Source organism: Homo sapiens, chromosome 22 (assembly GCF_000001405.40).
Source record: "Homo sapiens chromosome 22, GRCh38.p14 Primary Assembly".
Lineage (NCBI taxonomy): Eukaryota > Metazoa > Chordata > Mammalia > Primates > Hominidae > Homo > Homo sapiens.
The window spans coordinates 17121567-17137445 of record NC_000022.11 but is presented as its reverse complement, the minus strand read 5'-3'; the positions used below and the strand labels follow the sequence as shown (position 1 = coordinate 17137445).

Below are 15879 nucleotides of genomic sequence, written 5' to 3'. Positions count from 1 at the left end.
GGGTCTGGGAGATGGGTGGCATTTCAGCTCCACGAGGTGCCCACATCTCCTTTCCTACCTCCCGCCCCCAAGTCCACACCCATTCTGGGCTGTGAAGCCTGAGGCTGTCTATGAATGAGTATGCCTGGCTTTGGCATATACTTAGCAACTTCCCTGGTGTGGAAAAGAAGAGGGATCTTGTTACTGGTTTGTTCTAAAGGAAGCAGCTCTTCCTGCAGTGATTCTAGAAAACATGCCGCTTCTTGCATCCCTTCCTCTAGGAGTAACCAACTTCATTTCTTCATTTGTCTGTGTCACCCATGGCCTCAGCATCTGCAAATCCCCCAGTCAGTTCTCGTCCTCATTTTACTCCAGTAGCTGTTTGTGTTTGACATAGCTGATGCCTCCCTCCCTTGTTCTTTTTTTATTTTTTAGAGACGGAGTCTTGCTCTGTCACCCAGGTTGGAGTGCAGTGGCACGATCATGGCTCACTTGAACCTCCCGGGTTCAAGCAATTCCACCTCAGCCTCCTGAGTACCTGGCACTAGAGGCACATGCCACCACGCCTGGCTAATGTTTTTTTTTTTTTTGGTAGAGACAGGGTTTCACCATGTTGGCCGGGCTTGTCTAAAACTCTTGGCCTCAAATGATCTGCCTGCCTTGGTGTCCCAAAGTGCTGGCATTACAGGTGTGAGCCTCCACGCCCGGCCTCCTTCCCTCATTCTTAAAGCCCTCTTGGCTCTCTCCACCTGACTACTCTTTTTTTTTTTTTTTTTTTTTTTTTGAGATGGAGTCTCACTCTGTCACCCAGGCTGGAGTGCAGTGGCATGATCTCGGCTCACTGCAGCCTCCACCTCCAGGTTCAAGCAATTTTTGTGCCTCAGCCTCCCGAGTAGCTGGGATTACAGGCGCCCGCCACCACGCCTGGCTAGCTAATTTTTGTATTTTTGGTAGAGACGGGGTTTCGCCACGTTGGCCAGGCTGGTCTCAAACTCCTGACCTCAAGTGATCCACCCTCCTTGGCCCCTCAAAGCGCTGGGATTACAGGCGTGAGCCACTGCTCCCGGCCTAACTGATTTCTTTTTTTTTTTTTTTTGAGACGGGAGTTTTGCTCTTGTTTACCAAGCTGGAGTGCAGTGGCATGATCTCGGCTCACTGCAGCCTCCACCTCCAGGTTCAAGCAATTTTTGTGCCTCAGCCTCCCGAGTAGCTGGGATTACAGGCGCCCGCCACCACGCCTGACTAGCTAATTTTTGTATTTTTGGTAGAGACGGGGTTTCGCCATGTTGGCCAGGCTGGTCTCAAACTCCTGACCTCAAGTGATCCACCCTCCTTGGCCCCTCAAAGCGCTGGGATTACAGGCGTGAGCCACTGCTCCCGGCCTAACTGATTTCTTTCTTTCTTTTTTTTTTTTTGAGACGGGAGTTTTGCTCTTGTTTACCAAGCTGGAGTGCAATGGCGTGATCTCGGCTCACTGCAACCTCCACCTCCCGGGTTCAAGCGATTCTCCTGCCTCAGCCTCCTGAGTAGCTGGCATTACAGGCACGTGCCACCACACCCAGCTAATTTGTTGTATTTTTAGTAGAAATGGGGTTTCACTGTTAGCCAGGCTGGTCTCAAACTCCTGGCCTCAGGTGATCCGCCTGCCTGACCTCCTGAAGTGCTGGGATTACAGGCATGAGCTACCGCGCCCGGCCCTCAGCTGATTTCTTGACACCTTTGCTTGGATGCCTCAGAGGTGTTTAGAGGTTAGGGAGCAAAGGAGGTTGAGAGAGTGGCTATGAAACAGGAGAGCCGGTGTCTTGGAGGCTGAGTGGCTGAGTGCTGAGGAGCTGTGCTCATTCCCTCGGTGTAAGTGTTGCTGTGTCCACGACCAGACACTGAGCGCAGTCCACACCTCCTGCTTAACTGTCTTCCCCAGCTTAGGTGGCTGCAGCAGCTCCTTCCTCTCCTTGTCTAGGCCGAGGGCCTGGCGTCCTGCTGAGCTCCTCTTAATTTCCCAAGTGAGCTCTGCTACCCACCACGCCCCGCCCCAACTAGGCCCCTGGCCTCACCTGAGCTGTTACAGCCACACTTCATGGCCTCCCTGCCTCCGCCCTTTTCTTTCCCACTTGCTCTGCTCACTCATTGGCAGATCACGTGGTCTGTTCTCTGATGAAAGCCCTCCAGTGACGTCTCAGTCAGAGCAAAAGCAGTGATTTCTTACCATGGCACAAATGCCTCTTCATCCTGTCCCACCGCTACCCCCGGGACCTCACCTGCTGCTTTCCCCATCATCATTCACACACGCCACCCTTCTCCACGTTCACTCCTGCCTAGGGCCTCTCGCAGCCCCTCTGCCGGGCCACGGTGTCCATGTGGCACATGCCATCCCTTCCTTTTCCTTTTTTTTTTTTTTTTTTGAGATGAAGTCTCGATCTGTGCCCCAGACTGGAGTGCAATGGCGAGGTTTTGGCTCAGTGCAACCTCTGCCTCCTGGGTTCAAGTGATTCTCCTGCCTCAGCCCCCCAAGTAGCTGGGACTACAGGTGCATACCACCACACCTGGCTAATTTTTTGGTTTTTAGCAGAGACGGAGTTTCACTATGTTGGCCAGGCTGGTCTCGAACTCCTGACCTCGTGATCTGCCCGCCTCGGCCTCCCAAAGTACTGGGATTACAGGTGTGAACCACTGTGCCTGGCCAAGCATCTTTCTTTTTTTCCCAGACCCACTTATGGGTCTGATGGATGGATGTGCCATTCCAATTTCCTTGACTTTCTGTAAACATAGCACCATCATCCTTACCCTACTTAATGTTTTCATGGTACCTACCGCCCCATGACCCACATATACTTGCTGATTCTATGTCTTCTACTACTCCATGGACTCTGTCCATATTGGTTCATAACCCTGTCCCCACACCTGCATGCCTGGCACTTGGCAGGCTTCAAAAGATGATAGTAGATGGCCCCTGAGACCCTCCTATGGTGAGTCCTCCACAGGGCCCTTGGACATGAAAACGCCTCCCTCTGCCTTCACTCCCCAGGGAGCGTGGCAGAAGTGAAAGGACTGCAGGCCTGGCGATGGAGTCCCAGCCCGGCCATCCACTAGCTATAGGGCCTTGGGCAACTTCCTTCACTCCTCCAAGCTTCCATTTTCTCACCTGTGAAATTGGCATTGGCAATGTTTGTTTCATAGGACTATCTGAGAAATAAATGAGCTGTTATAAGTACAGTTCTGTATCATTTCAGATTATGTTCTGTTCCTAACAGAAATCTTTTTGGTCTTTTTCTTCTAGAGTCTGGGGTCTTGCTGTGTCACCCAGGCTGAAGTGCAGTGGCACAATCACTGCTCACTGCAGCCTCTACCTCCCAGGCTCAAGTGATTCTCCCACCTCAGCCTTCTGAGTAGCTAGGAGTAGAGGTGTGTGCCCCACTGCACCCAGCTAATTAATTTTTTTTTTTTTTTTTTTTTTTTTTAGAGATGGGGTCTCACCATGTTGCTCAGACTGGTCTTGAACTGGCATCAAGTGATCCTTCCACCTTGGCTTCCCAAAGTGCTGGGATTGCAAGCATGAGCCACTGCACCTGGCCTCTAACAGAAGTTTGATTGGTGGCTTGACCCAACAGGAGGTTATTTTTCTAAGTGATGGGAAGGTCAGAAGTGGCATGTCAGGGCTGGGAGCAGTGCCAGGCTATCCTGGAGGACTCAGTGCCCACCCCACCATCCTCAGCACGCATGCTTTGTCCAGTGGCAAGGTGGCCCCCTTACACGTGCAAGCCCCTCAGCCCCACTGAGAAGGGGGAGGGAGGGAAGGGCCCAGAGCAGAGCTCATGGAGCTTCATCCCCAGGAGTGCCCCCTTCTGACCTCCAGTTCTGCAGGTGATGACGAGGGGGTCACACAGACACCCCCAGTGACAGGCAGGGACTGGCACATTGTCGCTCAAACAAAATTCGGGTTGTGTGTGAAAGGCTCATGGGGTGCGTGTTGGGCAGGTGCCTCGTGGCGCCAACAGCACCAAGGCACTGAGCTGGGTTATTCTGTCAATCTGGGTGGTGAGGTTGACCTGTTGACCTATCTGACCTGAGCTCATCTGGGCTGCACCCAGAGCAGCTGCTCCAGGACATGACGCAAGTCTCTGAGTCTCTGAAGACCAGCCCTGGCCTCCGAAGCACCTTTGTGTTGGCCATCTGAGCTGCTGGCCAGGACCCAGTCTTGCTGGCTCACATTTGCATGGTGGTTAGCATTTTCCAAAGCATTTTGAAACAGGTGTCATCCGTTCCTACTTTGTTAGAGCCTCACAAAGCCCCTCATGGAGAGAGAATTCTTATCTATGCCATTTTCAGAAATGAAGGCACAAAGTCAGAAACCATTCATTCTTTCTCATTTAATTTCACTTATTTATTTATTATATTTTGAGATGGGGTCCCGCTATGTTGACCCAGCTGGTCTTGAACTCCTGGGCTCAAGCAATTCTCCCGCCTCAGCCTCCTGAAGTGCTGGGATTACAGGTGTGTACCACCACACACCACACACTCTGGCTGGAGTGCAGTGGCGTGATCATGGCTCACTGCAGCCTTGACTTCCTTGGGCTCTAGTGATGCTCCCACCTCACCCTCCCAAATAGCTGGGACTACAGGTGTGCACTACCACACCCAGCTAATGTAATTTTTTTTTTTTTTTTTTTGAGACGGAGTCTCGCTCTATCGCACAGGCTGGAGTGCAGTGGTGCAATCTCGGCTCACTGCAACCTCTGCCTCCCGAGTTCAAGTGATTCTCTCACCTTGGCCTCCCGAGTAGCTGGGATTACAGGCGCCCGCCACCACACCCAGCTAATTTTCTGTATTTTTAATAGAGATGGGGTCTCACAATGTTGGCCAGGCTGGTCTCAAACTCCTGACCTCAGGTGATCCACCTGCCTCAGCCTCCCAAAGTGCTGGGATTACAGGCGTGAGCCACCGTGCCCAGCCTGTAATTTTTTTATTGAAACAGGAACTTGCTATGTTACCCAGGCTGGTCTGGAACTCCTGGGCTCAAGTGATACCCCTGCCTCAGCCTTCCAAAGTGTTGGGATAACAGGTGTGAGCCACAGTGCCCAGCCCCCTATTTATTACTCGTTTGGGTTTCCTAAAGATATCATAAGCTATTTTAGGCTGGGTGCAAAAGAGCAAGTGTCCTGCCACATGACTTATGCAAATCCAGAGAGCAGGGCCAGCCACTCAGCTCTGATTCCAATTTTGTCCCTTAGGGGCTTTGTCTAAACCCTGGAACCAAAACTCATCCAGCTGCTTTCATTTGCTCAATCCCAAATGAATGACAATGTTATCTTTTTGTGTTTTGATGGAGCCGAGTGAATAAAAAAAAAAGACTGAGTGCATCGAATAGGATGTAAGGCCATATTTTTAATGAAATTATTAACATGGGACAAAACTTCATCAGGTTGCACATTGAACAGATAAAATCCCCTTGGGTCTGAGCCATTACCTTGGAATCAGAACATGGGCATTTCCTTGGTGTTCCCCTTGGCGGCAGCCGCCTGCTCTCAGCCTGAGGCAGGTGCAGGGAGCCTGCTGGTAATCGGGACACCCTGCAGAGCTGGGGTTGCTGTAGCAACCAGATGCTGCCTGGAGGGCGGAATTTTAAAATATCTCAGCTATAATAGTTTTTTTCACATTCTGTCACTTCCCCAGTGCTGCATCATACTGCTGAGGTGGGCCATGCGGGGACACAGGGGCCCTTGGGTGGCAGCTTCTGTGGGTGTTGGAAGTGGGAAGATGGTCTCAGGGTGTTAACTGCTGGGCAGCCGACAGCCTCAGCTTTCGCTTCCAGGTTCCTCCAGCTCTTGGTTCCAAAGCCTCGTGTCATTTTCTCTCTTTTTGGGGTGAGAGGGGATGGAGAGAGAGAATAGGAGTCTAGCTTGAAACTCCTTCCCTACCTCCTCCCCCTCTGATTTGAGCTTTCTGGCTCTGCATCCCTAGGCGAGCAGCCTTGGCGTTCCTGGAGCTGTCTCTTTGGAGAGGGGAGGGGTGTTCCTTCTTCCTTTCTTGTCTGCTTCTTCCTTTGGTCTTTCTTTTTTTTTTTTTTCTTGAGACGGAGTCTCGCTCTGTTGCTCAGGCTGGAGTGCAGTGGCACGATCTCGACTCACTGCAAGCTCCGCCCCCCGGGTTCACGCCATTCTCCTGCCTCAGCCTCCCCAGTAGCTGGGACTACAGGCACCCGCCACCACCCCCGGCTAATTTTATTTTTTTAATTTTTAGTAGAGACGGGGTTTCACTGTGTTAGCCAGGATGGTTTCCATCTCCTGACCTCGTGATCCGCCTGCCTCGGGCTCCCAAAGTGCTGGGATTACAGGCGGGAGCCACCGCGCCCGGCCCCTTTGGTCTTTCTAACTTCCTCTTTCGGCTTCATTTATTCACATATAAATGACTGTTGCTCTCCTACCAAATGCAGTGTTAAGAAATGAGGGCCGGGCTCGGTGGCTCACGCCTGTAATCCCAGCACTTTGGGAGGCCGAGGCAGGCGAATCACTTGAGGTTAGGAGTTTGAAACCAGCCTGGCCAACATAGTGAAACCCTATCTCTACTAAAAACAAAACAAAACAAAACAAAAATTAGCCAGGCAGGTGGCACGTGCCTGTAGTCCCAGCCACTCGGGAGGCTGAGGCAGGAGAATCACTTGAAACCGAGAGGCGGAGGTTGCAGTGAGCCGAGATTGCACCATTGCACTCCAGCCTGGATGACAGAGTGAGACTCCATCTCAAAAAAAAAAAAAAAAAAAGAAAGAAAGAAAAGAAACGAGAAATTCCCTTGTTCTAGAGGAATTCATCCTGTCTTGACCCTGGACTTGCCTATCAGATATCAAACATTTTTATGAAGTTACAGTAATTAAGACACTGTACTACTGGCAGAGGGAGAGACACAAACCAATGGCACAAAGGAGAGTACCCAGAAACAGACCTACACATGTATGAAAATGTGGCCTCACAAAATCTTTCTTTCTTACTCATTTCATAGCCTGATATGGGTCAGGTGGCTACTCTTGACCTTTTTGCTTCAAGTGGTGACTCAGGGATCCAGGCACCCTCCAGTTGGTGATGCTGTCATCTTCCACACATGGGTCCAAGGTCTGTGGGAGAGAGTGTGAATGGATAACTGTGAAGGGATTTATGGCCGAACCAGGCTGTGGTGGGTGCCACATGTGTGCATGTTTATTGGCTAGCCACATGGTTCTAATGTGACTGCAAAGAGGATGGGAAATGTGGTCTTTCTCTGTCTAGGAAGAGGAAATGGGATTGAACAGCATCTAGTCTGTCTCTGTTGCCATATTACTATTTACTAGGAATAAAGAAATTCTGGCCAGGCTTGGTGGCTTACACCTATAATCCCAGCACTCTGGGAGGCAGAAGCAGGAGGATCTCTTGAGTCCAGGAGTTTGAGACTAGCCTGGGCAACATGGGGAGACCCTCTCTCTACAAACAAACAAAAAAATAGCTGGGCGTGGTGGCACATGCTTGTAGTCACAGCTACTTGGAAGGCTGAGGCAGGAGGGTTGCTTGAGCCCAGGATTCAAACCTGCAGTGAACTATGATTGTGCCACTGCACTCTGGTCTGGACAACAGAGCAAGACCAATAGAGCAAAAAATTTTGTTTTGCTCAATTTTTGTTGAAATTCATGAATAGATATTAAATGTTTGTTTCTCTGTATTTGTTGAGTTGATCTTAAGTGTTCTTCTCCTTTAATCTGTTAATATGGTAAACCATATTAATATATTTTGTTTTTATCTTTTTTTTTTTTTTTTTTTTTGGAGACAGGGTCTCTCTCTGTCACCCAGGTTGCAGTACAGTTGTGCAGTCCTGGCTCACGGCAGCCTCGACCTCCCGGGCTTAAACAATTCTCCCGCCTCAGCCTCCCAAGTAGCTGGGACTACAGGTATGTGCCACCACACCCCAGCTAATTTTATTGTTTAATTTTTTGTAGAGGTGAGGTCTTGCCATGTTGCCTAGGCGGCTCTCAAACTCCTGGGCTTCAAGCGCTCCTCCCACCTTGGCCTCTAGAATGTTGGGATAACAGGCGTGAGTCACTATGCCCAGCCTGTTGTCATCTTTAACTCTTTCTTTCATCCCTGGGATAAAACCAAGTTGGTTATGTTACATGTTGCTGGCCGCTACTGCTGGTAATTTGTTCAGGAGTTCTTTGTCTATGTTCATAAGTGCAATTGGTCTATGTCTTAGTCCATTCAGGCTATTAGAAGACCATAGACTGGGTGTCCTGTGAAAACAGAAATTTATTTCTCATACTTTTGGAGACTGGACAGTCCAAGATCAAGGCATCAGCAGATTTGGTGTCTGGTGAGGGCCTAATTCCTGCTCCTTGGTTGGCCTGGACCAGAGAGGTGGCCAGCCTTTGAATCTGCTCTGCACTGTGGGTCCTTGCACTCTGGGCTGGTGATGGGAGTGCCAACTCTCATGATCTCTGAATTGCCTTCAGGGTCCTTCTTCCATTATCTTGGAGAACAGCTCCTAGCTTCTGTTGCAATGGCTGATCCATACTACTCTTACTAAAGGAGCTTGGCAACAGAGCAACACCGTTAGTGTTCTCTCCAAACTGGGTTCTCGTTCTTTTCTATATGGATGGGCTGATCATTTTTCAGAATTTCAAGTTCTTATTACTTTTTGCTTAACAGTTCTGTCTTTAAGTCATTTATGTCTCTCTTGAATTTTATTGGAAGCAGTCAGAAGGAGCTAGGTAACTCCTTCAATACTTTGTTTAGAGATTTCCTAAGCCAAACATCCAATTGCAAGTTTCATTGCTTGCAATTGTTACCTCCACAAAATGATAGAACATGAACACAATTTAGCTAAGCTCTTTGCTTCTTCCTAACAAGGATGGCCTTTTGTCCAGCTTCCAGTAAATGTTCTTCATTTCCATCTGTGGCCCCATCAGAATGGCCTTACTGCCTGTAATCCCAGCACTTTGGGAGCTCAAGGCGGGTGGATCACTTGAGGTCAGGAGTTCTAGACCAGCCTGGTCAACATGGTGAAACCCCGTCTTTACTAAAAATACAAAAATTAGCCGGGTGTGGTGGCATGCAGCTGTAGTCCCAACTACTCGGGAGGCTGAGGCAGGAGAATCACTTGAACCCAGAAAGTGGAGGTTGCAGCAAGATCACACCACTACACTTCAGCCTGGGCGACACAGTGAGACTTTGTTAAAAAAAAAAAAATTAAAAAAAAATAAAGAATGGCCTTACTATATATTCCCACCAGCATTCTGTTCAGGATTACTTAGGTATTCTCTAAGAAGATTGAGGTTTCGCTACAGCTCTCCTCTTTTCTTTCTGAGTCCTCATCAGGATCACCCTTAATGTCCACATTTCTAGCATACACCTCAAAACTCTTTCAGCCTCTACCTGTTACCCAATTTGAAAGTTGATGCCTTGGCTTCTCAAAGTGCTAGGATTGCCAGGTGCGGTGGCTCACGCCTGTAATCCCAGCACTTTGGGAGGCTGAGGCTGGCAGATCACGAGGTTAGGAGATCAAGACCATCCTGGTTAACATGGTGAAACCCCGTCTCTACTACAAATACAAAAATTAGCCGGGCATGATGGCGTGTGCCTGTAGTCCCAGCTACTCAGGAGGCTGAGGCAGGAGAATTGCTTGAACCCAGGAGGCAGAGGTTGTAGTGAGCTGAGATCGCACTACTGCACTCCAGCCTGGGCGACAGAGTAAGACTCCATCTCAAAACAAAACAAACAAATAAACAAACAAAAAACAAAGTGTTAGGATTACAAGAATGAGCCACCATGCCCAACCATATTTCCTTCTTTGTGTTTTCATTGTACTTGCTTTTCTTTCTCCAACTTTTATTTACTTATTTTGAGACAGGATCTCACTCTGTTGCCTAGGCTGGAAGTGGTGTGATCATGGATCACTGTAGCCTCAAACTGCTGGGCTCAAGAGGTCTTCACCTCAGCCTCCCAAGTAGCTGGGTCTACAGGCATGTACCATCATGCCTGGCTAATATTTTAATTTTTTATAGAGACAACGTCTTGCTATGTTACCCAGGCTGATCTCAAACTACTAGCCTCAAGTGACCCTCCTGCCTTAGCCTCCCAAAGTGCTGGAATGACAAGCCACTGTGCTCAGCCAATTTATTAAGTTGGATGTTTACCTTATTAAATGTTCAATTTTCTCCTTTGTAACACAAACATTTAAAGCTATAAATGTTCTTCTTCTGCTTTGGCTATGTCCCATCCATTTTGACAGGTGGTATTTTCATGTTCATTTAGTTCTAAATATTTTCTAATTTTTGGATGATTCATTTGGAAGTATGTCTTTACACTTCCAAATATGTGGGGGGTGGTTGGTCGTTGTTTTGTTATTTTATTCTAATCTAATTGTTGTGAGGTCAAAGGATTGGTCTGTACATGGTCAGGCTTTGTAAATGTTGCATGTAAAATTGTAAACAATGTGTAGTATCTAGTTTTGGAGGTACAGAGCTCTAAATTCAGCCATTTAGATCAAGCTTGTTAATGATATGGTTCAACTTGTATACATCTGTACCAATGTTTTATCTGTGTGAACTATCAATTACTGAGAGATGTGTTTATATTTCTTACTATCATTAGGTTATTTGCCAGTGTCTCATAAATATTACCCATTTTTATTTATATATTTTAGGGCAATGTTATTGAATACACACACATTCAGAACTATGGTCTTTCTGGAACTTGGTCCTTTTACAGCAGCAAATATGTATATAGCACTTTGTGCTGAGCACTTTCTATCTATTAATTCATTTACTCCTCATAACAACTCTGTGAAGTGGGTACTATTATTTTCCCCATTTTCTAGTGGGAAAATCAAGGAAAGAGAGATTAAGTAATTTGCCTAAGGTCACTCAGCTTCTAAATGGTGGAGTCAGCCAGGCGCGGTGGCTCATGCCTGTAATCCCCGCACTTTGGGAGGCCGAGGTGGGCAGATCACCTGAGGTCAGGAGTTCAAGAACAGCCTGGCCAACATGGTGAAACTCTGTCTCTACTAAAAATACAAAAAAAAATTAGCTGGGTGTGGTGACGGGCGCCTATAATCCCAGCTACTTGGGAGGCTGAGACAGGAGAATTGCTTGAACCTGGGAGGAAGAGGTTGCAGTGAGCCGAGATCGTGCCACTGCACTCGAGCCTGGGTGACAAAGTGAGGCTCCGTCTCCAAAAAATAAAAAAAATAAATAAAAATAAAATAAAACTAAATGGTGGAGTCAGGGTTTGAATCCAGGTAGTCTGGCTATAGAGTATGTGCCCTTCACTACTATGGTGTACTGTCTTCTATCATTACATAGTGAACTTCTTTATCCCTAAGAATATTCTTTGTCATATAGTTTATTTTTTTGGTATTAATATTGCCAAACCCACTTTTTAAAGTTGATATTTGCCTAGTTTAATTATATACATGCATTAAATTATATTTGTGTATTTTTTCTTCAGCCCTTTTTTACTTTGTTTGTCTTTATATTTTAGGGATGTTTCTCTTTTTCTTTTATTTATTTATTTTTGAGACAGGGTCTTGCTCTGTCACCCAGGCTGGGGTGCAATGGCGTGATCATAGCTCACTGCAACCTCCAACTCCTGGGCTCAAGGGATCCTCCCACTTCAGCCTTCTGACTAGCTGGGACTACAGGCATGTATCACTACACCTGGCTAATTAAAAACGATTTTTTGAAGGCCGGGCATGGTGGCTCACGCCTGTAATCCCAGCACTTTGGGAGGCCGAGGTGGGAGGATCACCTGAGGTCAGGAGTTCGAGATCAGCCTGACCAACATGGAGAAACCCCGTCTCTACTAAAATTACAAAATTAGCTGGGTGTGTTGGCGCATGCCTGTAATCCCAGCTACTCGGGAGGCTGAGGCAGAAGAATCGCTTGAACCTGGGAGGAGGAGGTTGTGGTGAGCTGAGATCTCACCATTGCCCTCCAGCCTGGGCAACGAGAGTGAAACTCCATTAAAAAAAACAAAAACAAAAACAAAACCTGCGTCCCTCAAAAAAAAAAATGGTTTTTTTTTTTTTTGGTAGAAATGGCATCTCATTTTGTTGCCCAGTCTGGGCTTGAGGGTTCCTTCTGCCTCAGTCTCCCAAAGTGCTAGGATTACAGGCGTGAACCACCATGCCAGGCCATGGGATATTTCTTATAAAAGCCTATAACTGGACATTTAAAAAAAATCCATCTGATCATGTGTCGTTTAATATGACATCTATTGTGATTACTGATTATTTAGCTTTATTTCTACCATCCACTGCATTCTGACTTCTGTTATTTCTGATGAGAAGTCTGCCATTAATCTAATTGTTGTTTGTTGTAAGTAATTTTTTTTTTACTGTTTGATTTCTCTTAAGATCTTTTTCTTGTCTAGAGTTCTACAATTTTACTTGAAAACATCTCGGAGCATGTTTATTTTTATTCATCCTGTTTAGGATTCATTGCAATTCCTAAATCTGTGGGTTGGAGAAGTTCTTTCACCAATTTTGGAAAATTCTCAGTTCAAATTTCTGTATTGTCCTTCCCTTATTGTTTTATATTCTCCTTCTGGAGCTTCTGTTAGACATATTTTGGATATTCCAATCTATCTCTCATGTCTCTTGTCTCCTAGATATTTTCAGTCTCTAGCTCTCTGTACTACATTCTAGAGAATGTCTTCATATATATTGTTAAATTTACTCACTTCAGTTGTGTCTAATTTGCTGTTGAGCTCATCCATTAATTTTTCAGTGACTATACAGCAGTCTCTCCCATTTGCAGTTTCACTTTTCATGGTTTCAGTTCCATGGTAAAGCACTGTCTGAAAATATTAAGATATTTTGAGATAGAGAGGCACCACATTCACATACACTTTTATTATAATATATTGTTATAATTGTTCTATTATTAGTTACTATTCTTAATCTCTTATGGTACCTAATTTATAAATTAAACTTTATCATAGGTATGTATAGGAAAATAAACATAGTATATGTATATCTTCAGTTTCAGGCATCCACTGGAGGTCTTGGAATGAATCCCTCATGGATAAAGGGAGGACTACTATATACTTGAAATCTAAAGGTTTCTTTTCTTTTCTTTGAGACAGGGTCTTGCTCTGTCACCCAAGCTGGAGTACAGTGGCATGATCATAGCTCATTGTAACTTCGAACTCCTGGCCTCAAATGACCCTCCCACTTTAGCCTCCTGGGTGGCTAGGAGTCACAGGCACATGCCACCACGTCTGGCTACTTAAAAAAAAAATTATTTTTATGGCCAGGTGTGGTGGCTCATGCCTGTAATCCCAGCACTTTGGGAGGCTGAGGCGTGCAGATCACCTGAGGTCGGGAGTTCGGGACCAGCCTGACCAACATGGAGAAACCCTGTCTCTACTAAAAATACAAAAATGAGCCAGGTGTGGTGGCGGGCGCCTGTATTCCCAGCTACTTGGGAGGCTGAGGCATGAGAATCGCTTGAACCCGGGAGGCGGAGGTTGCAGTGAGCCGAGATCGCACCACTGCACTACAGCCTGGGGGATAGAGCAAGATTCTGTCTTGAAAAAAAAAATTATTTTTAGAGATGAGGTCTTGCTATCTTGCCCAGGCTGATCTCAAATGTGCCCGGCCAGGTTTTTTGTTTGTTTGTTTATTTTTGGGCACCTCAGGTAGGACTGAAGTGTTTGTTTGTTTGCTTTCCCCCCAGACGGAGTATTGGTGAAACACCATATTGATCAGGCTGGTCTTGAACTCCTGACCTCACCCTGCCCCACATGGGTGGACCCTGGCCCCAACTGGCACCCTGAATGTCTCACACTGTGAGCCTGAGAAGACCGGCTCCAAGAATCAGTGCTCCTAACCATGGCAGCTTTGTTCCTGGGCACTTACCAAAGTGCAACGCTACTGGGGAGCAGAACTCAAGAGTCCAGGCAGAAAACAGCCATTGGTGGCCCCTGCTATGAGTCGATGTTCCCTGGGAGGCTAAGGCATGGGCTAATGGAATGATGATAACACAGAGACCTTTAACTGAGCATGGACTCTGAGCCAGGGACTGGCTCTGTCATCGAAGAGAGATTACACACATGATCTCTCTTCATACTCACAACAATCCCTTAAGGTAGGAGTGAGGTCCTTTTTTTTTTTTTTTTGAGATGGAGTTTTATTCTTGTTGCCCAGGCAGGAGTGCAATGGCACAATCTTGGCTCACTGCAACCTCTGCCTCCCGGGTTCAAGCGATTCTCCTGCCTCAGCCTCCCGAGTAGCTGGGATTACAGGTGCGTGCCACCACCCCTGGCTAATTTTCGTATTATTAGTAGAGGCGGAGTTTCACTGTGTTGGCCAGGCTGGTCTCAAACTCCTGACCTCAGGTGATCTGCCCGCCTCTGCCTCCCAAATTGCTGGGATTATCACCATGCCCGGCTAGTTTTGTACTTTTAGTGGAGATGGGGTTTCTCCATGTTGGTCAGGCTGGTCTCAAACTCCCGACCTCAGGTGATCCGCCCGCCTCGGCCTCCCAAAGTGCTGGGATTACAGGCGTGAGCCACCGCGCCCGGCTGGGGTGGGGTCCTGTTTACAGATCAACATTCTGAGGTGAAATATTCAGGCTAAGACCACAAAGGTGTTAAGTGGCACAGGTGGGATGGCGGCCCCAGAGCTCCTGCCCTCACCACCATGCCAGCTTTCCAAAAGTGGTGTGTGTGGGGGAGGTGGAGATGGTGCAGGTTCTAAATTGTATATTTACCAGGGATTGGCTGTGCAGACTGACCTCCACGGAACTGGAAAAGGCAGGTTTGGCTGAAACGGACTCTTATTTAAGAGGCAGATTTAGGGGCGAGGCCTGACTAACCCCTGCGGCTCCACTGCATACAGCTCCCTCACACTGCATGGTGTTATCACGCTGCAAGCTGTTACCTAGGGGAGATGAGCCCGCAGCAGCAGCTTCAAAGGTCATGAAATCAGGGAGCCCACAGGCCCCACAAGGGTGCAGAGGCCAATAGGGCAGGCAAGCTTTCTGCCTTGTTTTCATGGGGCTGGGAATGGGATGTTTCCATTATTGGTGAACCTCAGATTGTTTTTGAGCCCCAACTGCTCTAGTCATTTCCTTCTCCCTTAAACCCCTAAAGGCAGCACTCTACCTTCTGCCTTCCAGAGTTGCTGCATCGACATCCATCCCCAGCCTTGGATGAGTCCTGGGGTGAGCTGGTGTGCTCTCTCCTGAGACTGTCTACGCAGGGCCACTGACTGCATTCCTTCCTTGGTGTCTCTGTCTACTGTGGTGGGCTGTAACCCTCACCATCATCCCTTTGGAGCCTTTGTTTTCATCCAGGTGCCCACACCTCTAAATGCCCCTTTATTTTACTCTCTGCTAGACACATCTTCCTATTACGTCCCATTCTGCTTTAAAAACCTTTGAGAAGCCCGCTGGGCGGATGCCACTTGCCCAATCTCGTTCCCTCGTCTCTCCTCCCAGGCAGGTGTTTTCAGGGAACTTCTCCATCCGCTGGAATCGGGTCGTCCCTGAGATGGCTCGCGACCCCAGGGCTGGGTACATGGATATTTAGGACTATAGGTCTGGGGCTGCTGCCCGAGCCCTTTTTGCCAACATGGCCTGACTCCTCCACTGGTTTTTAGTGCCTTAGGGAGAGGCGGATGGCCCCATGGGAAGGGCGCTGGACGGAGGGTGGAGGCGAAGCTGCCCACTGCCTGCCTCAGAGCTGAGAAGGCCAGGTGCAAAGCCCGCCCTGTAGCTTGAGCCCATCGCTTGGGGGCACCGAAGCCATCTAGGTACTAACGCCCTGCGGTACAGCCGGTGGGATTCCCAGCGACTTCCTTAGGAGTCCGCGCTCCATGGGAGTCCCCCCGCACCGGGTCGCCTCGCCCTGGCGGCTGCCCGCGCCTCCTCCCGCTTCCTCC

At 47.9% G+C, this 15879-nt stretch overlaps 1 long non-coding RNA gene across 1 annotated transcript, besides 1 other annotated feature; it reads right to left on the bottom strand.

The window, feature by feature from the left end:
- Positions 1–5341: 5341 nt before the first annotated feature.
- On the bottom strand, positions 5342–15851 carry LINC01664 (long intergenic non-protein coding RNA 1664). Its single transcript, NR_103793.1, has 4 exons — positions 15407–15851; positions 12675–12791; positions 6962–7084; positions 5342–5831 (listed from the first exon to the last, which is right to left on the bottom strand). It is a non-coding gene; the product is annotated as a long intergenic non-protein coding RNA 1664 (long non-coding RNA).
- Positions 15128–15659: an enhancer, noted in NCBI's record as "H3K4me1 hESC enhancer chr22:17602677-17603208 (GRCh37/hg19 assembly coordinates)". NCBI's record gives its function as "activates a minimal SCP1, AML or CMV promoter by ChIP-STARR-seq in naive H9 embryonic stem cells {active_cell/tissue: H9 hESC(naive)}" and the evidence as "EXISTENCE:reporter gene assay evidence [ECO:0000049][PMID:30033119]".
- Positions 15852–15879: the final 28 nt, after the last annotated feature.